The 26,259-nt window shown below is 52.7% G+C and overlaps 1 protein-coding gene and 1 long non-coding RNA gene across 7 annotated transcripts in view, besides 9 other annotated features; one reads left to right on the top strand and one right to left on the bottom strand.

Moving 5' to 3' along the window:
* Nucleotides 1-1,295: 1,295 nt before the first annotated feature.
* Nucleotides 1,296-26,259, top strand: part of PER2 (period circadian regulator 2) — a 56,022-nt gene continuing 31,058 nt past the window's right edge. Inside the window, exons 1-6 of one of the 5 annotated variants that reach the window (XM_047446231.1) lie at nucleotides 1,296-1,559; nucleotides 2,585-2,721; nucleotides 11,324-11,462; nucleotides 23,406-23,654; nucleotides 24,168-24,230; nucleotides 25,464-25,618. In XM_047446231.1, coding sequence (XP_047302187.1) covers nucleotides 23,425-23,654; nucleotides 24,168-24,230; nucleotides 25,464-25,618 — 448 coding nt within the window. In that variant the 5' untranslated portion in view covers nucleotides 1,296-1,559; nucleotides 2,585-2,721; nucleotides 11,324-11,462; nucleotides 23,406-23,424. Of the gene's footprint in view, nucleotides 1,560-2,584; nucleotides 2,722-11,223; nucleotides 11,463-12,563; nucleotides 12,718-12,750; nucleotides 13,013-23,405; nucleotides 23,655-24,167; nucleotides 24,231-25,463; nucleotides 25,619-26,259 lie in introns of those variants that run through there. The other 4 variants (XM_047446232.1, XM_005246111.5, XM_006712824.5 and 1 more) reach the window with 4 other exon arrangements.
* Nucleotides 1,606-1,806: a silencer, noted in NCBI's record as "peak4101 fragment used in MPRA reporter construct". NCBI's record gives its function as "represses an SCP1 promoter by STARR-seq MPRAs in K562 erythroleukemia cells {active_cell/tissue: K562}" and the evidence as "EXISTENCE:reporter gene assay evidence [ECO:0000049][PMID:32103011]".
* On the bottom strand, nucleotides 2,615-13,492 carry LOC112268433 (uncharacterized). 2 transcript variants are annotated; one of them, XR_002959458.2, is made up of 3 exons: nucleotides 13,464-13,492; nucleotides 2,864-2,984; nucleotides 2,615-2,704 (listed from the first exon to the last, which is right to left on the bottom strand). It is a non-coding gene; the product is annotated as an uncharacterized LOC112268433 (long non-coding RNA). The 2 variants fall into 2 exon arrangements; XR_007088147.1 differs by lacking the exon at nucleotides 13,464-13,492 and adding an exon at nucleotides 11,564-12,399.
* Nucleotides 11,188-11,237: an enhancer, noted in NCBI's record as "active region_17380". NCBI's record gives its function as "activates an Ori minimal core promoter by ATAC-STARR-seq in GM12878 lymphoblastoid cells {active_cell/tissue: GM12878}" and the evidence as "EXISTENCE:reporter gene assay evidence [ECO:0000049][PMID:35858748]".
* Nucleotides 12,004-12,273: a silencer, noted in NCBI's record as "silent region_12494". NCBI's record gives its function as "represses an Ori minimal core promoter by ATAC-STARR-seq in GM12878 lymphoblastoid cells {active_cell/tissue: GM12878}" and the evidence as "EXISTENCE:reporter gene assay evidence [ECO:0000049][PMID:35858748]".
* Nucleotides 12,312-13,206: an enhancer, noted in NCBI's record as "H3K27ac hESC enhancer chr2:239196796-239197690 (GRCh37/hg19 assembly coordinates)". NCBI's record gives its function as "activates a minimal SCP1, AML or CMV promoter by ChIP-STARR-seq in primed H9 embryonic stem cells {active_cell/tissue: H9 hESC(primed)}" and the evidence as "EXISTENCE:reporter gene assay evidence [ECO:0000049][PMID:30033119]".
* Nucleotides 12,614-12,763: a silencer, noted in NCBI's record as "silent region_12493". NCBI's record gives its function as "represses an Ori minimal core promoter by ATAC-STARR-seq in GM12878 lymphoblastoid cells {active_cell/tissue: GM12878}" and the evidence as "EXISTENCE:reporter gene assay evidence [ECO:0000049][PMID:35858748]".
* Nucleotides 13,291-13,813: an enhancer, noted in NCBI's record as "H3K4me1 hESC enhancer chr2:239196189-239196711 (GRCh37/hg19 assembly coordinates)". NCBI's record gives its function as "activates a minimal SCP1, AML or CMV promoter by ChIP-STARR-seq in primed H9 embryonic stem cells {active_cell/tissue: H9 hESC(primed)}" and the evidence as "EXISTENCE:reporter gene assay evidence [ECO:0000049][PMID:30033119]".
* Nucleotides 17,258-17,757: an enhancer, noted in NCBI's record as "H3K4me1 hESC enhancer chr2:239192245-239192744 (GRCh37/hg19 assembly coordinates)". NCBI's record gives its function as "activates a minimal SCP1, AML or CMV promoter by ChIP-STARR-seq in primed H9 embryonic stem cells {active_cell/tissue: H9 hESC(primed)}" and the evidence as "EXISTENCE:reporter gene assay evidence [ECO:0000049][PMID:30033119]".
* Nucleotides 18,605-19,105: an enhancer, noted in NCBI's record as "H3K4me1 hESC enhancer chr2:239190897-239191397 (GRCh37/hg19 assembly coordinates)". NCBI's record gives its function as "activates a minimal SCP1, AML or CMV promoter by ChIP-STARR-seq in naive H9 embryonic stem cells {active_cell/tissue: H9 hESC(naive)}" and the evidence as "EXISTENCE:reporter gene assay evidence [ECO:0000049][PMID:30033119]".
* Nucleotides 21,420-22,044: an enhancer, noted in NCBI's record as "H3K4me1 hESC enhancer chr2:239187958-239188582 (GRCh37/hg19 assembly coordinates)". NCBI's record gives its function as "activates a minimal SCP1, AML or CMV promoter by ChIP-STARR-seq in naive H9 embryonic stem cells {active_cell/tissue: H9 hESC(naive)}" and the evidence as "EXISTENCE:reporter gene assay evidence [ECO:0000049][PMID:30033119]".

Below are 26,259 nucleotides of genomic sequence, written 5' to 3'. Positions count from 1 at the left end.
TTGCCCAAGCTGCAGTGCAATGGCGCGACCTTGGCTCACTGCAACCTCCGCCTCCCGAGTTCAAGTGATTCTCCTGCCTCAGCCTCCCAAGTAGCTGGGATTACAGGTGTGCACCACCACGCCCGGCTAATTTTTTGTATTTTTAGTAGACATGGTGTTTCACCATGTTAGCCAGGCTATTCTCGAACTCCTGACCCCAGGTGACCCGCCCACCTCAGCCTCTGAAAGTGCTGGGATTACAGGCGTGAGCCACCGTGCCTGGCTGGTAAGTTCATATTTTTCAAACCAAATTGCAAATCTTGGTTTCTCAGGCCAACATGAGGCACAAAGATCAGCAGGGTCTCATGCCCACCAAGTCCATGGCTGACAACGCTCACCCTTCCTGCATCCAGGAAACAATTGGGAACACTGCAAACTCTTCCCAGATTTCCTGGGACCTCCTCTTGGCCTTTGACCTCAAGAGTTGGAATAAGTTGGGGACTAAAATGCTGAGGTCAGCCCGGACTTCTGGCTCTCCTCACTCAGACAGAACCTGCATCTTCCACTGGAACCCTAATGATTTACATCAATATGTGGGAGAGCTACGCTGCCCTACCCAGGCCCTCACTCAGCAGACAACAGCCTCCTTTGTATTGATGGTAGATTTTAAGGCCACGAAGAGGAGGAGTGGCTTAACACAGAAAGGCCAGTCCCTACCACAAACAATGTCTCAATGGCAATGATTACAAATCCAAAATTATCATTTTTGCGGCTGGCTTCCAACATGAACTGACTTATAGCAAAAGGAGTTTATAAGAAGCCTTAATAACCTTGAGAAATATCTTACAATGGACACTTTATTGAGATTTGGTAAGAACAGCCCCTTTTAAAATCCTCTAACAAAGAGTTTAGAAAAATAGTCTTCTAGATGTCGAACTTTGGGAGCTCCATTTCTCCTTGTAACTGGGCAGATCAAAACTCTATTTTCTAAGGAATCGCTTAGGTTGGCCACGTTGGCCTGAACCCAGGGCAAGCAGGGCAGGCTTCTTCCCTCCATGCATGTGGCCCTACATGCATCACCACTTTCACTGGGGGTCATGGTGGGAGCTTGAAATTGGCCATGTGGGCGTATCTGTGTCACAGAAATAGATAAATGCTACATATTTTTTCTTTCTTTTTTTTTATTTTTCCAGAGAGCCAACTGTTACACATTAACTAGCACACCACTGGAGTCAGCCCAACAAATGATTGGAATCAGTTCCTGGTGTCCTTGCCAAAGCATCGAGTTTTAAATCACAGATGACTGCCCCTGTGCCAACGAATTCTTCTCCAGCCACCCATCTAGCGTTATGCTCCTTCGCCACCACACTGCGAAGAACCAGCGTCACCTGTGTTCCTTCAGCTCCTGCTGGCACACATTAGCTTTGCAATTCCTTTGGAGAACAGGACAGTTCTGACCAGAGCTGAGCATATGCCTCTCTGCTCTAGCTACGGTGAAGCCTGCCCCTGGATGTTGGCATCAAGGAGCAGTGGTGAGGGCAGGTCTTGAGAACAAACACCTTGCAGGACACCTACCACAGGTAAGGTATTCCGTAAGAACAACCTGTTCTCCGGCAAGGAGGAAGTATTTGCTTCTGTTGGCTTGGAGGCTTCTGAGAATTTGGGGGTTTGAGATTCTCAGCTTATCTACTCAATTGTCCATAGCCATGGTCTCAGGACCATTCACTATCTGGCTCCTGACTGATGCAGCAGGCCTGTCAAGGCTGTGACTTTAGTCTCGTTTGTAGCCTTCAACCCTTATCAAATTTGAGGTCTTCTTTTCTTTTTTTTCTTTTTTTTTGAGACGGAGTCTCACTTTGTTGCCCAGGCTGGAGTGCAGTGGCGTGATCTCGACTCACTGCAACCTCCGCCCCCTGGGTTCAAGCGATTCTCCTGCCTCAGCGTCCCGAGTAGCTGGGATTACAAGCACGCACTACCACGCCTGGCTAGCTTTTGTATTTTTAGTAGAGAGGGGGATTTTGCCCATGTTAGCCAGGCTGGTCTCGAACTCCTGACCTCAAGTGATCTGCCCCCATCGGCCTCCCAAAGTGCTGGGATTACAGATGTGAGCCACTGCGCCCAGCCTCGAGGTCTGATTTTCTTTTTTCTTTTTGGCTCACTGCAACCTCTGCCTCCCGCGTTCAAGCGATTCTCCTGCCTCAGCCTCCCGAGTAGCTGGGATTATAGGCGCACGCTGCCACGGCCGGCTAATTTTTGTATTTTTAGTAGAGATGGCTAATTTTTAATTTTCACTATGTTGGCCAGGCTGGTCTCGAACTCCTGACCTCAGGTAATCCCTCTGCCTTGGCCTCCCAAAGTGCTGGGATTACAGGCGTGAGCCACTGTGCCTGGCCGATTTGCAACAGTGATTTCTCCTACCCAGTGGCTGTAGGAGATGTAAATCTCCTGAGCTGCCAGTGAGGCCCTTGGGCATTCAAAGTTTGTCTTAGGTTGGCAAGGAACTCTCCCAAGCCCACCGTTTCCTTTCTTCTGAGTGTTCAGCTCCAACATAAGAAGGCACCACCCTTCTGCATAATCATGATCATTATCATTGTCTCCCACTCAGGAAGCACCACCCAATGCCTTGCTCTCTGGCTGCACCCATCATAACTGACCACAGGTGAAAACTCCAGTAATCATAACGCCACTGTGTGATGAACGGTCACCAGCGGTCAGCAAACTTTTTCTGTAAAAGGACAGATAGTAAGTAATTCAGGCTTTGTGGGCCTCGTGTGATATCTGCAGCGTATTCTCTGACTTTTCCCCCTCCCTTTCCCTCTAGCCCACAAGCCATGGAAGAACAGGCCATAGTTTGCTGACCCCTGGTCATTACAATCCCACTTACCAGAGGTATGGAGACCCTGTGACTCTGAAACAGGTGGGAAGATAGATTCCAACGTGAAGCCTTGAGTGAGGGTCGGCTTTGTCAAACCATTTTCAGTATCCAGTGTCTTAGTTTAGGTTCCCTAGAAAACAGAGCCAGGGAACAGGCTTAAGAACAAAAGCTTTGGCCGGGCGCGGTGGCTCACGCCTGTAATCCCAGCACTCTGGGGGGATGAGTCAGGCAGATCACGAGGTCAGGAGATCGAGACCATCCTGGCTAACACGGTGAAACCCCATCTCTACTAAAAATACAAAAAATTAGCCGGGCGTGGTGGCGGGCGCCTGTAGTCCCAGCTACTCTGGAGGCTGAGGCAGGAGAATGGGGTGAACCCGGGAGGCGGAGCTTGCAGTGAGCCGAGATCATGCCACTGCACTCTAGAGCCTGGGGGACAGAGCGAGACTCCGTATCACAAAAAAAAAAAAAAAAAGAACAAAAGCTTTATTGGGAGGCACAATCCCAGGGCAGGGAGAGTGGAGAAAAAAGGAAGAAAAGGCAAGGTGAGGCATCCCCATGCTGGCTGCTGCTTCCTGATGAGCCACACGAGGCAAGCCAGACACGCGGCATGTCCTCATGCAGCTTGTGAACGCCAATGCCCTGGTCCATTGGGAAACCATGCCTTGGATTTTGGCCCAACAGAGGGCAAAGGGTAAGGGTATTATCCACTGGCTCTCTCCTGCCTCCCACTGAAAGGTTTTGGGAAGAGCCCTGGCAGCACCTATGGCAGTGGCCTTTCTTGGGCCAGCAGTGACAGCCACCCAGGCTACCGTGTCTAGCAAGCCCGGGACTATCTGGGCCCCCTTCTGTTTCCAGCATATGTGGTCCAGGGCACACAGTCTGCCACTGCCCTGCAGGGAGCTCGGGGAACAGGGTCCCATTCCTCATCTTCCTGTGGTTTGAAAGACTCAAACAGGGTGTGGGGAAGCCCAGATCCAGGCGAACCTCACAGGGTGGACCCTAGCGTTACAAGAGTGCTCTTTAGGAATCTCATTTCAATCGTGTCTTCACTCACTCTCTGAGTCCCTTCTCAGAGGATTCAGAGGCCCTGCCGGGTGGACCAGGAGGTGACAATGCAAGGCTCTGGTCTCAAAGCTCCCTGCCTGGGGGACTCCTGGCCCCAGGCTCCTGCCTGTGCTCCTCCTCTTGATAGCTTCTCCAGTTTTCACACTATTCTTCCAGCACCTTCTCCATACAATGCCTTTCCTCCCGAGAGCCCCTTTCCTTTGTCATTTCTCCTGGTCCTCTCGCCTTCTTTGGTTTAGGGTTTGGCCAGCCGCAGAGCGTGGGGGGTGGATGTGCGGGGTGGATGTGGTGGAAGGTCTGCATTGGCAGTGCAGCCTCAGGTCCTCCCTGTTCTTTGCTCCTCGTTCCTGTCTCAAGTAGAGATCTGAACCCCTTTTGGGGGTTATTTGTGACTCTTCCTTTGAGGCCAGTCACACACCAGCCTGGAAAAACTGCTCCAGCCCGGCAGTGCCCAGAGGAATCGAGCTGAAGATGTCCCCCGCGAGGAGGGCCCTGCCTGCCATGAACCGCTCAGCACTTTCTGAGCCCAGAGCGTGGTGCTGGCAGGGATTCTCTCTGCGTTCTCATCAACCACGTGAGCCCAGCAAGCTCTTCCACGGTGGCTGCAGCCTTGGTGGGGATGCCTGGGTTTATGCTCAAGGTCTCAGGGAACCCCCCCTGGGGCCGCCACACCGTGGTCATCAAGCACCCACTGCGAGAAGTGCCCGGGAATGTCTGCCCGTGTCCGTGGTCACAGGGCACACAACTGACTCTGCAGCAGGAGGGCACACGACTGACTCTGCAGCAGGAGGGCACACGACTGACTCTGCAGCAGGAGGGCACACGACTGACTCTGCAGCAGGAGGGCACACGACTGACTCTGCAGCAGGAGGGCACACGACTGACTCTGCAGCAGGAGGGCACACGACTGACTCTGCAGCAGGAGGGCACACGACTGACTCTGCAGCAGGAGGGCACACGACTGACTCTGCAGCAGGAGGGCACACGACTGACTCTGCAGCAGGAGGGCACACGACTGACTCTGCAGCAGGAGGGCACACGACTGACTCTGCAGCAGGAGGGCACACGACTGACTCTGCAGCAGGAGGGCACACGACTGACTCTGCAGCAGGAGGGCACACGACTGACTCTGCAGCAGGAGGGCACACGACTGACTCTGCAGCAGGAGGGCACACGACTGACTCTGCAGCAGGAGGGCACACGACTGACTCTGCAGCAGGAGGGCACACGACTGACTCTGCAGCAGGAGGGCACACGACTGACTCTGCAGCAGGAGGGCACACGACTGACTCTGCAGCAGGAGGGCACACGACTGACTCTGCAGCAGGAGGGCACACGACTGACTCTGCAGCAGGAGGGCACACGACTGACTCTGCAGCAGGAGGGCACACGACTGACTCTGCAGCAGGAGGGCACACGACTGACTCTGCAGCAGGAGGGCTGTGTGGATCCCCTGACCTACCATTTGCTTCATTCAGCAGCACGTGTCACCCCTCATCATGCAAACAAACCATCCGTGCTTGCAAAGAGTTCCCCGGGTGTGGGTGGCAGCAGGGCCAGAGGGAGCCCGTTTTTCCTCTGTGCACCCCAACAGTCCACCTACACATGGCTTCCTCCCTGTAGCAAAGCTCCCCAGCTTCAGTGGTGGCCTGGGGAGTGGGTAGGGTGTCTCCCAATTTCCCTTCCTCCTCATCGCAGGACTCCATCTGTTGAGGAGGAGCGAGAAGATGAGTACACGGGCAGTCTTCGCTCCCAGCTGCTCTTCACAATGGAACCACCACAGTTCAGGCCCCACAATCACTGCCGTCGCAGGTCTAAGTCACTCGGGCTCCTGCCTCTGCCCTCAGCCAGGAAAGCGGTCACTCACCGCTCGAGGGGATGCCTCCACCCTGAGGTAACCCAATCAGACCCCTTTGCCTGTCTCATGCCTGTAATCCCAGAGCTTTGGGACGCTGAGGCAGGGGGACGATTTGAGGCCAGGGACTTGAGGCTTCACTGAGCTATGATTGCACCAATGCACTCCAGCAAGACCTCATCTCTAAAAGAAGAAGAAGAAGGAGGAGAAAGAGAAGAAGTAGAAGAAGGAGGGGAAGGAGAAGGAGGAGAAAGAGAGGAAGAAGAAGAAGAAGGAGAAGGAGAAGGAGAAAGAAGAAGAAGAAGGAGAAGAAGAAGAAAGAAGGAGAAGGAGAAGAAGAACAAGAAAGAAGAAGAAGAACAACAACAACAACAACAACTTTGTTGCTTCCAACCAACAAGACTCCGTTTAGGGACAAGTGATGTTTTTCCATGTTGGGCACCAGGGAGAAGCCAGCAGGAGAAAACAGACACCCAAACACCAAAGGAAACACTCTGTGAGCCACAGAAGCAGTGCTTGTTGCAGGCAGAGGGCAAGGCAGGTGCACAGGCCTGAGCCTTCACCCTCCCAAGGAGGGCACTGTGAGCTGGCATCGCTGGTGGGCTGGTGATCCCCAAGATGGACCTGCACCCCAGCCATCCCCACCTGTGAGTCCTTGTGGACTCAGAGCGGAGTTATATTAATGGAACGCAGGGAGCACCTGCATTCGCCAAGTCACAGAGGAGCTTTTGGGTGGGGAGAATGTTTGGAGAACGAGAGGCACGTTGGAGCTTGGACTTTGGTCGCTCCTGACTTTGCGGCCTTCCCTGCTGAGCCAGCTGGTTCTCAGGCTTCATAGGGGCAGGGTGGTGAGGGTAGCCATGAGATCTTTCTGCAGACAAAGGTGGTTTCTCCTTGATGACATACAACACAGACACACAGGATTCCTTTGGCGTCGTGGTGTTGAGAATGTCTTTTGCAAAGGGACAATGGAATGCAGGCGCATGTCCTATAGAGTGGTGAGGATGAAAGAAGAGAATGTGTGCCAAGCGCCAAGCGTGATGCCTAAACACAGCAAGCACGTGCTCCATCACAGCTTGTTTACAGGCCACGGGGGGCCCGACAGCCATACTCAAGTATGAATGTGAAGCCCCAAACTCGGGCTCCTGCATTCTTGTTAGTGTCACCCAGGATCAGGGACCCTAATGACAGCAGGCCTTGTTGGTCCCCAGAGCATGCAAGGCCCCCGTTCCTGACTCCAAGATGTCCATGGTTGGAGGTGCCAACTGGGCTACCCCTCAGTGACGCCCCCAGGAATGCTGGCAGAACCACACTGAGGCAACAGCCTTGCAGGACGCACACTAGACAGAGAGGGACAGAGCCAGGGAGCCTGCTGCAGGGGCCTGCCCGGGTAAGGTCCGTGGCCCAGAAGGCCAGCAGGATGACACCCTGACCGATGAGAGACCCTCCACCTGGGAAGGAAGAGATGCCTCGGACGTGGAGGATCACCTTGAACACGGGTATCACCTCAGACAGGGGGCATCACCTTGGGTGTGGGGGGGATCAGCTCAGACAGGGCAGGCATTTTTGACAAGTTACCTCTCCTTGGGCTCCTTCAGGACAGTGAGGGGTACTGGCTGCCCAGAAGCCCTGGAAAGAAACTCAAGCTGCCTGAGACCAGAAAACCTGATCCACAGATTAGTCCACAAGTTCCTGAGGCAGAGAGTTGACCTGCAACTCAAACCAGGAGCGCCATACAGCATCACCTACCCACTGCTACCCCCTCCCCACCAAAGGGCACAGCTTTCGTCTCAGTGAAATCCTTGGTTTTTCTTTCTTTTTTTTCTTTTTCTTTCTTTTTTTTTTTTTTGAGACAGAGTCTTGCTGTGTCACCCAGGCTGAAGTACAGTGGCATGATCTTGGCTCACTGCAGCCTCTGCCTCCTGGGTTCCAGCAATTCTCCTGCCTTAGCCTCCCGAGTAGCTGGGATTATAGACATGTGCCACCACGCCCGGCTAATTTTTGTATTTTTAGTAGAGACGGAGTTTCACCATGTTGGCCAGGCTGGTCTCGAACTCCTGACCTCAGGTGATCTGCCTGCCTCAGCCTCCCAAGTCCTTGGTTTTTCTTAATGGCCTTAATGACCAGAAAGTTTGAGGTTTTAATCCTTTCTCAAGTGACATGATAGCAAATTTTTTCTTGGCTTTGGTTAAAAGCATGCCTTTTATTTGCAAAACTGATAATAAGAGAAGTCAGTTGGGTACACATTTAATCACTGAATTCCTGTAGCAATAAAGAGGATATGTATAACATTAAAAAGACAGAATCTTCAGGTACTAATTATTTTATTCATTTATATTTTTTGTCTTAGGATACAATAATGAAGTAAACAAGTCTATACAGAGTATTGTATAGCAGAGACAAAGCTATGGCAATTTAAATTATTTGCAGATCTGCAAAAAAGAAAAGATTAGATGTATTTTGGAGAGGTATTTTTGAAGTAATAACTATTGCCATGGATTAAAAGCCCACTGCACCTATGTATGATGAAAAAAAAAAAGCAAAACAAGGCTGGGAGGGGTGTCTCACATCTGTAATCCCAGCACTTTGGGAGGCCGAGGCGGGCGGATCACGAGGTCAGGAGTTCGAGACCAGCCTGACCAACATGATGAAACCCTGTCTCTGCTGAAAATACAAAAATTAGCTGGGTGTGGTTACGTGCGCCTGTAATCCAAGCTACTCAGGAGGCTGAGGCAGGAGAATCTCTTGAACCCAGGAAGCGGAGGTTGCAGTGAGCCGAGATCATGCCACTGCACTCCAGTCTGGGCGAAAGAGTGAGACTCTGTCTTAAAAAAAAAAAAAAAGAGAAAGAAAAAGAAAAACAAACAAAAATCTTAGCGAATTAGAATATATGGCAATGGACATCTATAAAAAAGAAAAACAAAAATCTTAGCGAATTAGAATATATGGCAATGGACATTTATAAAAAAACAAACATCTAAGGCTCATCATACCTGGTGGTGAAATACTGAACACTTCCTCCCCCAGGGTGGAACGGGCCAAGGATGCCCACTCTCACCATTCTATTCCACATCAAATGCGGGTCCTAGCTTGTGCCACCAGCTCTGTGATCTCTAGGGCATCCTTTGCAAAGGAGCCATTGGGACATGGATGCTTACATTCCAGGCTCCAAGCAAGCTCCTTTCCCCAGGCTCTTCTCCAGGGTGAGGCGAAGAAAGATGGGGACTGCACACCCATCGTGGATGGCTCAATCTTGTGACTTCCTTGGGGAAGACATATGAGAACACGTGTGTGCACATCACACCCACATGTCTCCCCTAAACAAAGAACAGCCTCCCTGGATCTATATTTAGTTTAAAAATCAAAAAGCCTTCTCAGTAGGTAGCTAGCATGATAAAGATGCCTTCTTCTTTTTTTGAAAAGATAGGATCTCAGTCTTGCTCTGTTGCCCAGCCTGGAGTGCAGTGATGCAATCACAGTTCACTGCAACCTCGAACTCCTGGCCTCAAGGGATCCTCCTGCCTCAGCCTCCCAAGTGGCTGGGACCACAGGAACATGCCATCATGCCTGGCTTTCTTGTTTTTTGTAGAGACAGTGTCTCACTATGTTGCCCAGGCTGTTCTCAAACTCCTGGGTTCAAGAAATCCTCCCACCTTGGCCTCCCAAAGAGCTGGAAGATACTTTCTTTATACCGGTCCGCAAACCACCTCATGTCCAGGGACAGGCACCTGCCCTCGGGTCACTAGAGGCAAGTTGTCCTTGTCTCACCCTGAGACCCTGGACACAGGTGCCCGCGCCCTTGAGGTCACCTCTGTGAGCTGGCTGAGGGTCTCCCTGCCAGGAGCTGCCACCATGCCAAGCTGGGGTCAGCCGTAGGTCAGCGCTGGGTTCAAGGGAGGCTGGAGAGTAAGGGTTGGGCATTATCATCTCCAATGTCCCTAGGCCCAAGAAAGGGGCTCCAGCACTAGGGGGCCAGAAAGCTTGACAGTGTCCCCTCCATCTCTTTAGAGAGACTTTGCTGGCCACCACCTCCTCCATTTGCAGAGGGAATTCTCTTCCTAGCCGCCTGTCCTTTGGCCCTCCAGCTAGCCAACCCGCAAACCATGCCACCTACAATGAGAGGAAGCAGTGATCAGCACAGTTGCCTGGTACATAGTAGTTGCTCAGTAAACAATTGGCTGGGTGCATGAGTGAATGAGAGGGCCAGTGAGTGGACTGGCAAGGGCATGGAGGCCTGGGTGCAGAGAGGCCCTACAGGCAGGCCCAGACATAGATGGGTGGGCCAACTTGGGCCAGGCTTACTGGTGGAAACAGGCTGGTGGGAGTGGGTGGAGCAGGGGCCAAGCAGCCTTTAGCTGGGAGGCCAGCTCCTCCCACTGGCAGCATTCCCAAGGTAGGTGGGGACCCTGGCTTACCACTCCACCTCCACCCCCAACTAAAGGACTAGCTGTCTCCTAGCCAGCCTGCCTCCCACAGTGCCAACAGCAATTCCCCTATCCAAGAGCTCTGAGCTCCGTGCTGGAGGTGACAGCTGGCCAGTGTGGGCTGGCTAGGAAAGGGTTCATCCCCCTTCCTTCTCCAATCTGACTGCCCCAATTTGCGCTCTCTCTCTGTCACCATCTTGGTTCAGCAAGAATGGCATCCATGCACTTGGCCTGATTGTAGGAGCTCATCCCCTGAGCGCTGTCCTCTGTTGGAGCTGGGATGGAGGCTTCTGTCCATGGCTGTCCTATTCCCTCAGGACCTACACACCACAACTTAGACAAAATTGCCTCTGAATCTGCCTCCTCCCCCCTTCTACATCACCAACTCCTTACAAGCAGGGATGCAGTGAGATGTATTTTTGCATGCCCCTCAACACTCAGGTGTCAACAAGTATTTGTGGAGTGTACACAAATTTCCAATAATAGGAAAGAAGAAACTGGCTGTGAATCACTGAAAATAGATGAGATTCTGAAGAGTCCTAGAGCCCAAAGCACTTGATAATTTCTAAAAGAATTGATTTCAATATATTTCTACCAGATTTATTGGTGGAAATAAAAAAGGCTACATTTAGGGAGGAAATGTGACATCAGGTAGCAGGCTGAATATGGAGCAAGACCCAGCAAAAGCATGAAGAAGAATCTCGGTAAGGTGTGGATGAGCTGTCTGTTTACTCTTGTTTCCAGAACAATGGAGCTCCCCATTGACGTCAATGGGAGGGAAGAAACAAAAGAGCCTTTGGGTGTGTGCAGGGCGCAGCAGCCGGGCCTGGGTTTGCTTGGCATTTGTGTGTGTATGTGTTAGGGAGAGGGGGCGGGGAGTGTGTCGAGGTGTCAATGTCAGAGGAACAGGAGGAGGGGCCACCTGACTGAGTGTGTGAACAGCATGCAGGCCTCCCGGGGCTTCTGTGGGAAGGGCTGCCCCGATGAACTTGGTATTTGCCCTGGTTTGCATCTGAGAAGTTGCACACACACCTTGTCAAGTAGAAGAGAAGGAGTTATCACACTCAGGAATTCCTGATGTGGGTTCATAACTTTTCCTTCTGTCCCATCCCTGGTCCCCAGGTGAGTCCAGGTAAAGAAGAACAAGAAGAGTAAAGAGAGATGCTGCGGGCTCCAGCTTCTTGGACAGTCTCGCCTTCCCCATGAGAGCCTACACATTCAGAGCCTGCTGCGTGGGAGCCTGAAAGCTCCTTCCTGTCCTGTAAGTCTCAGGCTTCTACCCAGACCCGGGGAAATTGTACTCTTTCTCCTGACACTTTAAATGGAAGTTTAGAGGCTCCACATGCCCCACACAATGCTTACCGAAACAAGGTGATGCAGGGTCCCGCGCTGTCTCCCAGGACAACCTCCTACCCCTGGCTCCTGCGTCTCTACGGCTTGCACCGTTGTAAGGCGTCCCTTTCTCAGGGCCCATCTTACCCGCCTTGGAAGTGCTGCCTTTCTCACGGAGCCTGTGGGGATAGCTCTGGTTAATTTATAGCCCACATCGCCCAATTTAGCATTTGATTAAGTTTCCTTTTTATGAGATAGTCCTTTCTCCCTAGTGATGCGCTTGGGGGCAGGGACAACATCATTTCTTTCTTTTGTACCTCCCCAGAGTAACAATGACTCTATTTCCTGAACCAAAAATTGCAACACGTGGTCTCAAAAATAAGAAAGGTCACTTGGTAGCTGCCGGGACAAGTGTCGACCACAGGCACCTCAGAGGCCCGGGTGGGCGTGCCCCCGGAGCTGCTGCAGGGCGGTGCTGCCACCTTCTCCTGGGCTGCTCCGGGGCCCCGCGATGAATGAGTGAGTGAATGAGTAAATGAATGAATGTGAATGCGTGAATGAAGCATGCCGCGCGGACTTTCCCGCGGCCCTGGCCGCTGGGGGCGCGCCTCTGGCCGGTGGCCGGAGGTGGAGGTCTCCCTCGTCCGGCTTCGGCGCGCCGGGTCTGCCAGGCCGGCCGGAGGTGCGCAGGAGCCCCGCGCCCAGCTCCCCCGCCCGCAATGGTACGCGCCACTCCGCGCTCCCCGAGCTGGCGGGCTTGAGGGCGTAGTGAATGGAAGGCGCCGACGCCGGAAGTGGATGAGACCACTAGGGAGGACGACGGGTAGCACGAACGCGCCGCGTCTCCATTGAGGAACCGACGAGGTGAACATGGAGTTCCATGTGCGTCTTATGTAAAAAGAGCGACGGGCGCGGCCACCAATGGGCGCGCGGCGTTCGTAGGCCCCGCCCCTCATGTATGCAGATGAGACGGAGTCGCGGCCAATGGCGGAGGCCGGGGGCGGGCGCGGCGCGCGCGGTCACGTTTTCCACTATGTGACAGCGGCGACTCGGCCGCGGCGGAGGCGGCGGCGCTGAGGGGATACGTGCAGCTGTGGGCGGCGGCGGCGGGCGCGGGGCCGGGCGGACAGAGCCGCGAGTCGGCGGAGGGACCGGCGGACGGGCTGACGCGGGCGCGGCCGGCGGTAAGTGGCGCGGCGCGGCCCCGCTGCGGCTTACGTAACCGCCGCCGGCGCGCGGGCCTCGGGCAGGTCGGGGTCCCAGCGCCGGCTCGGGCAGCGGAGGCGCCGCCGGAAGTTCCTTGGGCTGCTGGACTCCTCGGCTTGAAACGGCGCCGGCGTGGGGGCGTGTGCCCTTGGCCCTGTCCCAGGTGGAGAGTGGTCGAGCCGCGCGCAGGGTGCGCTCGTTTGAACTGCGGTGACACCGAGGGTTGGGGACTCGAACCCCCGCTTCGCAGCTCAGGAGCCTGAGGTCCGAAAGGTGAGGCAGCGTGTGTAGGGCACCGAGCTACCGAGTGACTGCGCGCGGGCTGCGGTTCCGTGGGCGATTCTCTTTTGGGAACCCTCCCTCCCCTCGCATGGGGAAGGCCAAGGAAACCAAGGGTCAGCGCAGCCGGCCCTGGGATCTGGAGGACCCTCGGGGAGCTGACTGCCTCTTCTGAGGCCACAGGGCTAAGTCCTGGGCTGGGGAAGGGCCATGGAGGGGCGCTGATCTAGGAGCTTTTCCTGGACACCCACGGGTCTCCTGGAATGGGTGATCAGAGGGACAAGGAAGTCCCGGTGCCAAGCCAGGCCTGGGAACCTGAGGGCGGGGAGACCCTCTAATGTTCGCCCCTTTGCCTCCCCTGGACCACCCTGTATTAATTCCCTTTCCCCGGACTGGATAGAAGGGAATGGGGGTGTCCACTCTTTGGTGCAGCAGTCGCGCCTACCTTCTGGGATGTACTTTGGCTGCCAAGTCCCAGACATAGACCAGGGGGTGGGAGGTGGCCTGCTTCCCCCTTCAGGAAGGCCAGGGTAAGGGATGACGAGTTGGTTGCCAGGGTTTCTGTAACCTACACAGAAGGAACCCGTTTGGAAAGCTGATTCATACAGAACAACAGAGCCAGAAGGCACCCTGAAAATCACCCAGAGTAACCCCTCAGCCTGACAGATGAGCAAACTGAGGCCCAGGCCCAGGCTGTCTGCAGGATCTTCCCATCGTCCTGGGGCAGGATGAGCTTCAGAGGTTCAGTGATGGCCTCCACTTGCGTGCTGAATCCTGGGTGGGCTGGAATTTGGGAGGAAGGGCCTTAAGTCCGGGAAATGTGTTAAGAACCCCACACGGTGGCTAAAGCCCCACATGGACGCCTCTCACCTGTATATGGCACAGCAGGACTGCTAGACTTCTTGGCCCACCCTCTACCCCCACCTGGGGCTTCTGGTCCCAGGCTGGGTGTGCCTGAGAAGAAAACAGGACTCTACCTGAAGGCTTTATTTGGAAATTGAGTTTTAAAATACAAGGTGAATTGATTTTTGTGTGCTATATGACTATAATGAAGAAAGGGACTCCGTTTTTTTTGAGTGGAAGCTGTGTGGTGTGCCAGCGCGGGGATGGCACCGTGGGTGTTTGCAGTTATCTGTCACTGTCGCCTTGGTATGATTCATTGGTACAGAACTAACGCAGCCCTGGCTTTCTGTGGAGACTGGAGTGCCAGGTGGGAAGGGGGAGCCCTGTGTCAGCCAGCTGGCTGCTGCTGGCTCCCAGTCTGGGCCTCAGTTTCCTTGTTTGTTTGGAGGGGCTCAGATTGGGCAGTCTCAGAGGTCTACTTTAATTCCCAGGTTTTTGGTTTTCTGTTACCCTACAGATGATTTTTCCCAGGTTTCTCGCAGGAGACAGAGGCTTCTGATATGCTCTTGCCTTTGGGCCAAGTAATGTTCTCCTGTGAGCCACGTCTGCAGTGCTTACAAGGAAAAAGGAAAGATTCCTCTCCTGTGCACTACTTCTCGTACCCACTGAACTTTCTCAAAAATACTGGTAGTCACACTGCTGTTTTTAAGCGATGATGTAACTTCACCAGGACTCGGCAAACCACGGCTCTGTCAGGTCATTGAACAGCTGGCAGGGCCACTTGGCGTTTAGTCAGAAGAAAGACAGGCTCTGGGTGTGCTTTTACCTTTTGAAAACTACTCTGTTTGGCAGAGGGAGCCAGAAACACACAATTCCATAAGCTTGGCAGAGACTGTCGCCACACTTCTGGAAAGCTGGCCCACCTTGGGAACCAAGGGAGAATTAGTCTAGAGGGGGCCTCTGATGGACCCCTCCCCCAGCCCACGCACTCCCCCCTAGGGACCAGGCCCTCCTTTCAACTCATTATGCTCATCGTGTACACATTTGTAACAAGTTTGTTACCATATCTCCAAGTCTAGAGCAAATTAGAAGCAGTAAATGAATAGCAGTGACTGGTGACAGGAGTCAAGGCCACTTGGTTTTCAGAGACTGGTAGTTCCCAAGACAGAGTGAGCTGCCGTGCTGAACCCTCACCGGCCTCGAAGGGTTCCTCGTGCTCTTCCTGGGGTGACATAGAGGAATCAGAATCCACTCTTTAAGAAACCAGGTACAGGAGGAGCAGATGCCTGAGCTTCCTGCAATTCGGAGTAGCTCAGTCCCTGACCACCGGGGAGCTAGGAGGCTGACACTTTTGCCTTTATTTGCTTTAAAGTCTTGTAGTTCTAAAAATGTAGGGATTTAAAAGTCTGAATTGAGATCATTGAAGGTGTCCTAGTGAGGCCAAGACAATGCCTCCCCGGTGCACCTCCTTCCCTCCATATTTGGATGGCTGCGGTCACATTTTCCTCAGTTACCCAACCGTTGCCATGGAGAGTGCGGCTGTTTATTTAGCAGGACAAACATTTTCTCAGGATTACAGCAGGCTGGCCTCAGGGAGTTGGCTCCTACCAGGAAGTAGAAAACATGTTAGAATATTTGGGGTTGTAAAATCCTGCAGGGCTTGCAGAGACAGTACATGCTGTATGAGCCCTATTATGTAAAGTTCGAAAACAGGCAGAATTCACTAGGCTGCAAGAAGCCAAGCTAGTGAGTCCCCGCGGGGTAGATGGTGGCTGGGAGGGCCACCAGGAGCCTCTGGGGGGCTGGCACTGTCCTGCCTCTGGTGACATGTGACATGGCATGTTGTTTGTGGATATACATCAAGCTGTGACCTCATGAGGTGGGACTCCTCTGGTGATTGAACACTGATTTCTGATTTCCACAAAAAATGCTTTTCCGCCTTAGGTTTGCAGGTATTGAGTACAGTAAGACTTTACCAGTCCTGGCAGTGGCAGTGGAGGCTGGAACTGGGTCCCAGGCTTGCTTTCGTTCCTAATTTTTAAACACTATTATGGAAAGTATGAGTATCTCTGAAAGTGGGGAGGATAGGGTAACGAACCCATGCGACCCCACCAGCCAGTAGTCTCTGCTCCTGGCCCCACTCCTTCCCCACCCCCACCAGCTGCTTTTCCTCCTGATCCCAGGCTCTCTGTTCTTGTGGTGGACTGCACTTTCTGAATGGTGCTCTGTCAAGTTGAGGCAACCCAGCTACCAAAAATGTGGCCAGGTGACCTGGTCAGGGGTCCGAGCTTAACCTCTTTCTTTGAGTCTGACTGTTCTTAGGGGCAGAGCCAGTAGGCGGACATGCAAAGAGGGCCTCAAGGGCAGGTTCACGCCCAGAGGCTCATGTTGGCTTTTGGCAGCCCCTTTTCAACCAGGCTGCCATTTTCCCTCCTGGGCTTTGGTACCCTGAGCACATAAGTGCATGCCCACCCTCCCTCCCCCTACCCGCCTTGAGGTGGAAACAGGTTTCCTAGGAGCTCCCCAGGAACAGCTGGTCCAGCTGGCTATGGGCACACATCTGTGGAGGGCAGGAGGCAAAGTCCACTTTGACAGGGACGTTGGTTTTGCCAGCTTCTCAAAATGAGGCTGGTCTATTAGAGCCGCTGAGGCTGAGAGACGCATTTTCTGGAATGACGAAGTTTCTGATAATTTGGCTTTCACATTTCTGCCAAGCTTACTCTACCCTCTTTGCAAAAATACTTATCTTCCACCTAAGGTAATGTCGGGGCACCAGTGAATCGTATTTAGACAGGCTTACAGGGGATGGACTTAGGGGTGAAAACCAGGAGAGCTACGTGCAAAGCACCCGGGGCCCAGACAGCATGGTGGCTTCAGATACCTGATGCTCCTCTAAGGACTGCCTGGGCTGGAGGTGGCACTGAGTTCTTAGTCCTTTAAATATAAGAATACAAGCCAGAGACAGCTGCCATGACAATTCATTCTCTCTCTTCCAAAATTACGTTTGTTGCCCATCTGTTTTTCTTTTTCGTTTTCTCTCTCTTTTTTTTTTTTTTTTGAGATAGAGTCTTGCTCTGTTGCCCAGGTTGGAGTGCAGTGGTGCAATCTTGGCTTACTGCAGCCTCCACCTCCTGGGTTCAAGCAATTCTCCTGTCTCAGCCTCCCAGGTAGCTGGGACTACAGGCACACACCATGACGCCTGGCTAATTTTTGTATTTTTAGTAGAGACGGGTTTCACCATATTGGTCTGGCTGGTTGCGAACTCCTGACCTCGGGTGATCCACCGCCTCAGCCTCCCAAAATGCTGGGATTACAGGTGTGAGCCACCGCGCCCAGCCGCCGTCTGTTTTTCTGTAGTGATTAGCAGTGATAAGCTAATATTACATTCCAGATATCTTGCATGGGTTGTGTCATTTAATCCTTCTAACAACCAGTAGGAGGCAGGAACTACTGTTACCCCATCTCACAAATGAGGACACAAGGCTCAGGGAGGTTAAGGAACTTGTCCGAGATCACATAGGAGGTGGTGGAACCCAGCTGAAACCCAGGCCACCCAGGACCTGTGCCCTTAACCACTCTGCTGCTGCCTCTGATCACCTTAATGACTCACTCAGAGCAGAAAGGACCAGCTGCTTATCTGGGGGAGGGCTGTGGGGATGAGATGGGTGGTGTCCAGGGTGTTGAGGGGTCAGGAGTGAGAGAATGCCCTTGGTACCCTGGGCGGCCCCTTGGCAGCTCCACTGAACCATGGCAAGAGCACCCTGAGAGGTCTCCTTGCTTCCACCTTGCCTCAACCCTGCAACTCCATTGAAGTGTAAGTGAGATCTTGTTGCACAGAACTCTCCACAGTTCCCTATCGGAGTTCTGACTGCCCCCGCAAGGCACTCCGTGATCTGGCCTTGCTGCCGCCCTCCTACCGCTGCCCGCTCTGCTCCAGCCTCGTGCACCTTCCTCAGACAGGTCAGGTGCTTGCCTGCCGCAGGGCCTTTGTGTGTGCTGTCCCCCTGCCTAGAATGTTCTTCCTCTGGTAGCTCACTCTCCACTCTCTTCAGGTCTGCCTTCAGGCTCTCTTGAGAATGGAGTCTGAGGTGAGCACTTTACTGGGAATTGCAGTCCCAGGGTAGCAGTAGAAAAGGAAAAGGGAGGTAAGGAAGAAAAGTCTGGAAAGCACACACAAGACGACACCCTGCTGAGATGAGGCTCTGCCTTACAGAGACATCCAGCTGGGTGCTCACCCCCTTGGGACCTCTTCAGAAAGGCTGTGCCAAAACAGGAAGGAAGGAAAGAAAGACAACTTCAGAAAGGTCCATTTGAGGGAGAGAGGGAGGGGGCATTTTCTGCCAGCTCCTCCTTGCCTCCTGTCCAGCAAGCGAGCTCTCCCTCCTATCCAGCTGCCTCATCAGACCCTTTGGCAGCAGGCAGGACAGTGAGGAGCAGCAAGGGCCCCCACAGTGGTGTGGCACGTCATCCGAGTCCACACAGGGCAGGCAGAGCCAGAGATGCCCAGTGCCAGCCTCAGGTGTGAAGCCAGAAAGACCTGCTGAAGCACGTGGCTGCAAGCCTGAGAGAGCGAAGCCCAGGGACCCTGAGTCAGTTCACACACGAGGGCTCGTGCGCAAGGTCCTTGTCAAATGCCACCTACACCTGGGGCCACCCTCATTGAAATGTCACTCCCAGCCCCTCAATTCCCACTTGCTAGTTGCCTACTCTACTGTATATTCTAGTTTCTTGTTTATTGTCTGTTTCCCCCTAATGTAAGCTCCCTGAGGGCAGGAAAGATGTCTGCTCTGTTGTCTGCCCCAGTGCCAGCCCTCAGTGCTAAGCGAATAAGGGCAAGTCAGTCAGTGGGAAACTGCTGGCACCGGGCAGGCCCTGCCTGAGTGCCATCTGTCCTTTTTATTGTTGTTGTTATTTATTGTTCTTGGACTTGTTCATCTATGTCTGAGACTCTCCCCACATCAGTCTTTCTGGCCTCTATCCTTTTAGTGGGTGTATAGTATTCATAGTATGGATGTCCCAGGTTTGTGTCTTCAACAGTACGTGCCAGGCCCTGGGGATCCAGCATTGACCAACGCAAACCCCTGCCCCCATGGAGCTTAGGTCCCAGAGGGGAGGCAGGCAGTAAACAGCCCAGCCCCTCAGTGCTGGCGAGGAAAGCCCACAGAGCGGCGGTGGAGGCACAGAGAAGGAGCTGGTGGGGAGACGGTGCTGTTCATGCAGGCTGCCCAGGCATCTGCAAGAAGAGGGCTGTGGGCACGAGGGAGCAGCAAGTGCAGAGTCTCTGTGGTCAGAGCACACAGGGCTGGGGCTGAGGGGTGGGCAGTTAACAGGACATGCCCAGGAGATTGCAGGAGCTAGACTTGCAGAGCCTTTGGCCCTTGTGCACACTAGAATTGTGCTCTGAGCAAGGGTCTGAGCACGGGCCGGGCGTAAGCTAAGCCCCTTCACCAGGATCGCTCTAGATGCTGTGTTAACCATAGCAGGGCCAGGTGGAGGCAGGGGACCAGTCTGGAATTGGAGGCTGGCTCCTGGCCAGGATGATCGTGGACAGGATGCGTAGCCTCCCTGTTGATGGTTCTTCCCAGGTTTTTATATTCAGTGCTCACACATCTCTGAGCACATAAATAAGCACTTCTCTGCAATGGATTCCTGGAGGTGGGAAGAGTATGCAGATTATAAATGTTGCTGGGAACTCAAATTTCTCTCCAGAAATACCCTATTACTACACCACCACACACAAGAGCCACTCTTCTCCACCTGAGCAACGCTGAGTGTGATCAGTCCTGTTAATTTTTGGCAACCTGATGGGCAAGATAACCTCGTCCTTTGCATTTTCCTGATGCTAATGAGGTTGAGCCTCTTTCTACAAGTTCACAAATCTTTTGGTGTCTCTCTTTGTGGGAATGGCCTAGGCAGTCTTCTTGCTTAGTCTCTCTGTTCCCAAAAGGTATTACCATTCATCTTTCATTGAATTTGCTAGAACTGCCATTAAATGTAAAATAAAGAAAAAAGACTAGAATAACAGATTTGCTTATTTTGTTCCTGACTTTAAGGGGAATGATGCTGGCATTTTGGGTTTTATGTGACTCAGGATGTTGATAAAACCAGCTATGTAACCCACAATCAAGTATCCTGTAATTGAGATTTCCTCCCTTTGACCATAAGCTTTTCCTCTCAAAGCTATTAATATATGTAGACGGCCGGGCCTGGTGGCTCACGCCTGTAATCCCAGCACTTTGGGAGGCCGAGGTGGGCAGATCACGAGGTCAAGAGATCAAGACCATCCTGGCCAGCATGGTGAAACCCCATCTCTACTAAAAATACAAAAATTAGCTGGGCGTGGTGGCGGACACCTGTAATCCCAGCTACTTGGGAGGCTGAGGCAGGAGAATTGCTTGAACCCAGGAGGCGGAGGTTGCCATGAGCCGAGATTGCGCCACTGCACTCCAGCCTGGTGACAGAGCAAGACTCCCTCTCAAAAAAAAAAAAAAAAGTGTAAACATTGTCTTCTGGAAATGTAATATTGCTGAAGAGATATCCAAGACTAGTGTGATTTTTTTTTCATCCTTTATGGGTAACTTGTTTGTTCTCTGTGGATGTTGGTAGGACTTTCTTTATCCTTGAAGATACCGTTTGTCATCTGGATGCACTTAGGCGTTGGACTCTTGTCCTTTGATTGGCAGATTCAGATCTGTCTCTGGTTCAGGATGGTTCTCTTTATGTGTCTCGCTCATTATGGTTTCTGTTTTATTGTTCTCGTCTCTTTCAGAAAGAGCTGTAATCCACAGGTAAAACCCGGCTGTCCTCCATCTCTCTTCTCTTCTCCTTTCCCTTTGCATTTTAAAAGTCTGTCACGCATCTCCTATCACTGAAGCCATTTTCTTTTTATTGATTCTGAACTTTGTCCTTTCTAGTTTTCCATTCTAATGTGGCATTTTCATCTCAGTCAGTGGCCTTATCTCATCCCTCATTACTTGTTTCATTGAATCCATCATTTCTTGAATTCTTAGGATGAAAAGTAGATGGTGTCTTAATTTGCTGCTTCCTCTGTGGCATGAGGGTTGTGTTCAGTTGTCTTTGCTGTGTGTGTTTTCCACAGCCCCGTGTTGGCTTTCTTCTGTTTATTAGTTTGTGAACAAGGCGAGGTCTAGTCGGCCCTGCTGTTCTCCAGACACTGATGTGGGTGGATTCTCCATGAGCCCCGCCTCTCACCAGGCTGTCCTGGAGTGGCTCACCGGCGAATGGGCTCGACCTGGGGAAGGGGATGCTGAAGGCTCTTGTTGGAGCTTAGCCATTCAGTTCCTGGGGCCAGCTGTTGGAATCCGGCACCCTGTATGTGTAGCCCTCAGTATTGCTGGCTGGTTTCTAGCCCTTTCTTAGAGTTGCCCTGTTGGGGAGGGCACCTGGGGGTGTTCAGTGGGTGAAGCGTCTCCAGGAGAACCTCTCCTTCCCACAGGATTTCTGTTCCTGTGTCCGTTCTTCTCCCACAGCTTCCTCACGAAGCATCTTCCTGGTGGTAGAGCTCTTGACTGTCCAGCCTTGGCCATGGCTTGGGCCTTCCATGGCCGGGGGTAGCAGGGATCTCAGCACTAGCCACTTCCTCAGGGGTATTTGGACTCCAGTGCACTCTTCATGCTCCTTCCATCTCAGCGACAAGCAGCCGGACGCACCTTCACTTTGTGGCAAATGATTGGGACCCTTCGGGACTTCTAGGGCTGCTGAAAATGATCCCTCCCCCCGACCAATTGTATGATCCTTGGTCATTTCACGTGGGTACTGGTGGGAAGGAGGTGGAAGGGGAGGCTCTCCCAGAGCTAGATGGGAACTGGAGCATAAGATGTTTCACAAGATTTGGGGTGTGGAATCCAGAAACCCTTCTCTCCCTTTGTTCCAGCTGCCCTGGGAAGGGCCAAACGGATGCCATGCAGAAGTGGAATGCCACACTGGGCCAGAGTTGGGGCTGAGCACAGTGCAGTGGCAGGAAGCAGGAGGCCCCCACACAGCTGAGCCTGGGTGTAGGGTGGGGGTCCCATCTTCAGATGCCGGCAGGCCTGGAATCCAGGGCTGTCATCTGCTACTGTGTGGCCTGGGGTGAGCTACCCACCCCTGTTGGCTGCTCCGTAGAACGATCTCCTGCGCACCATGTAGACCGTGATCCAGAGTTGCTGGGAAGCTGTGTGTTGGGTGCTTAGCATCATGTCTGTAGTCAGCAGCATCACCCCAGAGCCTCACAGCTGTGTTCATTAAGCATGACCACTTGTGTCAAGCAGGGCCTTCATCTGGCTCTCTCCAGTGCCCCGCTTGAGTGGGTGCCTGCTTCCTGCTGGGACTCTGCTGAAAACGCTGTCCTGGGGATGGGGAGACATCACTGGGTGAAGAAGGGAGGACCCGGGATGGCATTTTGGCCTCTCACCTGCTAATCAGTCCCACCCCTCCCTACTCCCTGTCTCTGTTCACCCCCCCTCAGTTTGTGTCCAGGATGATCGCTGGTCTGTCTCTAATTTCAGCCACTCCACCCACCTACCCCAAAGTGCAGAGGTTAAGTTTCTGACCAGCACAGCAGTGCAAGCCTGTCCAAATGCAAGCTGAGTTCCGTGGGCCTGGCACTCAGAGTGCCTCAGCAGCTCCCAACCATTCCCAGTAAATGTGAAGCCACATTGTCCTGGCCCCTCTCCATCCCACTTGTACATGCTTGTGGGGCCTGGGATCCCCGAGCTGCTGGGAGGGTTCCACACCTGCCAGGCCCCTCTGCCCTCTTTACCCGGCAAGCCCTGTCTGTCCCCATGTCTCCTGCTAGCCTTGGCTCCTCCTCCTGTAACTGTGCCGTGCTGTAATGGCCAAGATTTCTGAACCCGGCTCCCCCACCCCACCATCATCTGGGGAAATTTATAAAAGGCAGATCACCTATTCAGAGGGACCATGTGTTTTTCCCAGCACCCCACAGGCCGGGTGTTGATTATCAGTGCTCTTGTCTGCCTTCTGATGAGGCCGTCAGCAGCTCTATGTCGGGCTGAGGCTGCCTCATTCAACCATCTTCCTAATCCATGGCAGATAGGAGCTCTTGTCAATAAGAACAAATAAGTAATGTGATGAACTAACGTGCGTGTGATTGATCCCGATGAAAGGGCAGTTTTGGCTGCGTGTGGTTGGCCTGTAATCTCAACATTTTGGGAGGCTGAGGCGGGCAGATCGCTTGACTTCAGGAGTTCGAGACCAGTCTGGGCAACATGGCAAAACCCTGTCTCTACCAAAAATACAAAAAATTAACCAGGCATGGTGGTGAGTGCCTGTGGTTCCAGCTACCCTGGAGGCTGAGGTGGGAGGATCGCTTGAGCCCAGGCACTGCATTCCCTGGGCAACAGAGCCAGACCCTGTCTCCAAAGTAGAAAGAAAGAAAGAGAGAGAGAGAGAGACAGAGAGAAGAAAGAAAGAGACTGCAGTTTCATTAGTAACAGAAAGAGTCAAATGGGTGCTCTACCTGATGGCTGCAGCGCCCCTTGTGCGTGTGCTTGTTAATGCGTGACAGCATCCCTCTGTTTGCCAGCTTCGTTCCAGAGCCCAGCATGAATGGATACGCGGAATTTCCGCCCAGCCCCAGTAACCCCACCAAGGAGCCCGTGGAGCCCCAGCCCAGCCAGGTCCCACTGCAGGAAGATGTGGACATGAGCAGTGGCTCCAGTGGACATGAGACCAACGAAAACTGCTCCACGGGGCGGGACTCGCAGGGCAGTGACTGTGACGACAGTGGGAAGGAGCTGGGGATGCTGGTGGAGCCACCGGATGCCCGCCAGAGGTGAGTTCAGCCTCTGGCCAGATGGAGGCTGGGCAGGTTGTTTTCTCAGTGGCTCATTTCTGCTGTGATTTGATTGCTTTTGCAATCTTTAAATCATGATTACCAAGTTTTTCAAGATTTTTGAAAATACCTAAAATGTGCCAGTGTCTGTCCTTCCTCATAACGAGGCCCTGTCGAGTTCGCAGATCCAGTTGCCAACAGACAGGTACTGGGTAGTGTAAGGAGATCTTGGGAGGTAGCAGTGGTGGGTAACCCAGCCAGTGGCTGCTTATACAACACTGGGCAGTTTATAGAAAAGGAACTGGCTCCTGTTATCATGTGTTTCTGTGTCCTGGTACTTAGTTTTTCTGATGTCTGAAGGTTTTATATTCCAGTTTTATCTTAACCTTGTATTTTTAAAAAATTGTCTTACCATGGTATTATCTAGCCTGTTATCACTGGTAGGATGGCAGGGGAAGATGTGTCTGGAGCATACAATTGTCTAAATTTTGCTTTTATTTTTTGTTTTCATAGTCCAGATACCTTTAGCCTGATGATGGCAAAATCTGAACACAACCCATCTACAAGTGGCTGCAGGTAAGGCCAATTAGAACTTCATACATAGAGGTTTTAGAGAAATTGAAAGACTTCTTATTGGAGGTTAGTTTTCTGGGAGTGACGTGGCTTTTTTTAAGCTGTGCTAAAACCCATCTGTGTGGCTATGTGGGTACGAACCCAGCCTCACTCTGGCCTTTCAGACACTGACTGTGTCCCCTCACCGTCCAGAGCCCCCGGGATGTCGCTCCAGTACCTGTAGCTCCTCCCAGCTCTACTCGAAGCCGACTTTGCCTGAGTCTTGGGCATTTTCATCTGGAACATTCTTCACCCTTCGTAGGTGTTTGTAACAAACTTACCCTATGTCAATTTTCATGTCACCTCGGGAGCAGAACCCGGCTCCTTGTCCAGGGCATGTGGGCACTTTGCATTGCCTGAGAAACCTTGATTTCCATCATTCCTTCTGCACCCTCTGTTCCACACAGGCCCATCTTCATCAGCCAGTGCCCCGCTGTCCTGTCTCTCTAACATCTCTGTATCCTCAATTAATGTTTGAAGACCCTTTTCCACAATCCCCTTTTCTCTGTGTTCATGGCTCACTTTTATGTCCCAGGAAGTCACTTTGCTGTCCTCTGTAATCCCATCACTCAGTCCTTCTTTACCTGGGGCAGGGAAGAAGGGCACAGCTTAGTGCACAGTCCACTGCACCAGACTATGGGTCGACCAGTATCCTTTCCTGAGCAAAGCCTAGCTCTAACCCTTCAGGGAAAAGAACACAGTTGGAGGGACTTCTCCAGCATTCAGTTGGGTTAGAGCGGTGACTCTTGACCAGGAACAATTTGTCTCCCAGCGAGAAACATCTGGCAATGTCTGTTGACAGCTCTGATTGTCATACTTGGCCAGGGTCTCCCTGGTCTATTGTGGGTGAGGCCAGGGATGCTGCTAGATGTCCTACAGAGCCCCACCAAGGGCCACCCAGACCAGAACATCTCTAGAGCCGAGGCTGAGAAAATCTACAGAGCCCCACAAAGGGCCACCCAGACCAGAACATCTCTAGAGCCGAGGCTGAGAAAATCTACAGAGCCCCACAAAGGGCCACCCAGACCAGAACATCTCTAGAGCCGAGGCTGAGAAAATCTACAGAGCCCCACAAAGGGCCACCCAGACCAGAACATCTCTAGAGCCGAGGCTGAGAAAATGGGCAAGAGGCACGTTTCTTCAGGAAAGGACACCTAGGAAGCTAACATTTGGCTGCCTCTTTCTTGAATCCTGCAGTAGCGACCAGTCTTCGAAAGTGGACACACACAAAGAACTGATAAAAACACTAAAGGAGCTGAAGGTCCACCTCCCTGCAGACAAGAAGGCCAAGGGCAAGGCCAGTACGCTGGCCACCTTGAAGTACGCCCTCAGGAGCGTGAAGCAGGTGAAAGGTACGTCGGCCTCGCACATCTGCTCCAAACCTATAGAAATATGTTTTAAATCCCCCCAAATTATAGCTTGGATTGTGTTGACTTTCTAAAACTCGAGGCTCATCGCAGCTCACTGCAGCCTTGACTTCTGGGCTTAAGCGATTCCGCTGCCACAGCCTCCTGAGTAGCTGGGACCACAGACGTGTACCACCACGCCCAGCTAATTCTTGTATTTTTTGTAGAGATGGGGTCTCACTATGTTGCCCAGGCTGGTCTCGAACTCCTGGACCCAAGCAGTCCTCCCACTTCAGCCTCCCAAAGTTCTGGGATTATAGGTGTGAGCCACTGTGCCTGGCCTGGCCTTTTTTCTTTAGAGTGGAAACTACCACCTCCAGAACTTTGAAGAATTCCTTAGCTGTGTTGGTCTGTTGTGACGAGCAGGCAGAGACCATCAGTGTCAGCCAGGGTGGGAAAGGAAGGTGCCCTGCAGAGCATCTTCACACCTCCTGCCAGTTGGTGTGTGAGCACCTCCCGACTGTGGAGCTGTGCCTTTTCATGTGTTGCGCACATGCACTAAGGGGCTGGTGGATCTTGTACATTAAAAACATGCATAAAAATAGAAAAATCTGAGAGGCTTAAAGGTGAAGCAGTAGCTGTATTCT

The sequence above is a fragment of the Homo sapiens genome, chromosome 2 (genome assembly GCF_000001405.40).
Source record: "Homo sapiens chromosome 2, GRCh38.p14 Primary Assembly".
Lineage (NCBI taxonomy): Eukaryota > Metazoa > Chordata > Mammalia > Primates > Hominidae > Homo > Homo sapiens.
The sequence above is the reverse complement of the archived record's forward strand: the minus strand, read 5'-3'. Positions and strand labels throughout refer to the sequence as shown.